We start from the raw sequence: 2,055 nt of genomic DNA on the forward strand, positions 1-2,055 counted from the left end.
ATCTAGGAAGCCCAAGAGAATATGAAGCAGAATAAACAAAACATCTACACCTAGGCATATAATATTCAAACTGCAGAAAACCAAAGAAACAAAATCTTAAGCTAGAGGAAAATTTACTTTGCCTATATAGGAGCCAGAATAAGAATTACATTGGCCTTCTCTTCAGAAAGCATGCAAGCAAGAAGAGCAGAGTGAAATATTTAACATGTTGAAAAAAACTCACTAACCTAGAATTCTATATTCAGCAAAATTATCCCGCAAAAGTGAAGGAAAAAACAACAGATTTCCTCAGACAAAAAGTGGGAGAATTTGTCACCCATACACATCATTTGCAAAAAATGTTAGAAGTTCTTCAGAAAGGAGAATAATGATATAGGTCAGAAACTGTGATATGCATTAAAAAAAAAAAAAGCCAGCTGGGCACGGTGGCTCAGGCCTGTAATCCCAGCACTTTGGGAGGCCAAGGCAGGTGGATCACCTGAGGTCGGGAGTTCGAGAGCAGCCTGACCAAAATGGAGAAACCCCATCTCTTAATACAAAATTTGCCAGGCGTAGTGGTGCCTGCCTGTAATCCCAGCACGTTGGGAGGCCGAGGTGGGCAGACCACCAGGTCAGGAGATCAAGACCATCCTGGTTAGCACAGTGAAACCCTGTCTCTACTAAAAATACAAAAATTAGGCGGGTGTGGTGGCAGGCGCCTGTAGTCCCAGCTGCTCAGGAGGCTGAGGCAGGAGAATGGCGTGAACCCAGGAGGCGGAGCTTGCAGTGAGCCGAGATTGCACCACTGCACTCCAGCCTGGGCGACAGAGCGAGACTCCGTCCAAAAAAAATAAAAATAAAGAAAATAAAGCATTATATTCTACCACCCAGAGATTATGATTGATGACTTTTATATCTGTACATCTTTTTCCATGTTTATATGTGTGTGTGTGGATATATGCATACACACATATACCTTTTACAAAAATGAGATCATATTATATGTGGTATTTTATAACCGATTCTCTTCAGTTTATCATCTTCTCCTTTCCCCGTCAATACATTTTAATGTTGCCTAAATCCAGCCCAAATTCAAATTGGCCCAGTTTTTCCATAATGTCTTTAAAGTTGATTTACCCAAACTAGAGCCACACGATACATAATGGTTGTTATGTCTCTTAATTTTTTATTCTAGAGCAGTCCTCCTGTCTTTTTCCCCCCATAAAATAGTCTTTTTGATGAGTCCAGGCTAGTTGTCTTACCCTCTGAAATTTTCTGTTTGTTTCTTCATTATGTCACTTCCTTTCATACCCACATTCCCTATATTTCCTATAAATTACAAGTTAGATCAAAAGGCTTGAAGGATTCAAGTTAAACATTTGGGGATAGAATTCATATTAGGTGACAGGAGACACTGATATCTGGGTGACCCACCATTAAATCACTTTCTTAGTATGATGAGAGTCCGATCCCTCCATTGAACAGCTGATTTTTCCCCTTGTTACTAAGTTTGTGGTGTCATTTGGCACTATGTGAATGGCCAGTTTCTCATCAACAAAATACATAATGTTTGATAATCTTTTTATGGGTCAATCATTTTATCAAGGGTGACAGAATGATTTTATAATTATTCCATTCCTTATACATTATTAACTGACATTTTTATTTATAGTAGAGCTTTCCCTTATCAAATATGTCATTTTGGTCACTTCCTACTAGGAAGTTATGATTAGTACTTAGTTTTTTTCCCTTTATTTACCGATTTTTAAGTCCAAGGAGTGGTTTAATAGGCACTTCAAATTGTGACATGAGATTTTAGGACTTTCTCTATGTTAGTATTGTAATAGACTTACAGATTTTCATAGAATCAGTGTTTTAATCCTCCATAGTCATTACTTTTTTTAATGCCCAAATTGACACATCTTTGGCTTGTGTAGACATCTTCAGTCTTGTGTTCACATCTGTTTGCCATGGCCCTATTGATTTTTGAATGCTTACTTTCTGAGCAAAATTAATTGTTCCAGGCTTACTTTGTACCTCCCCTGTTCTCAGATCTGGTCTCAAGCATTTCTGAAG

Source organism: Homo sapiens, chromosome 6 (genome assembly GCF_000001405.40).
Source record: "Homo sapiens chromosome 6, GRCh38.p14 Primary Assembly".
In the NCBI taxonomy this organism is placed as follows: domain Eukaryota; kingdom Metazoa; phylum Chordata; class Mammalia; order Primates; family Hominidae; genus Homo; species Homo sapiens.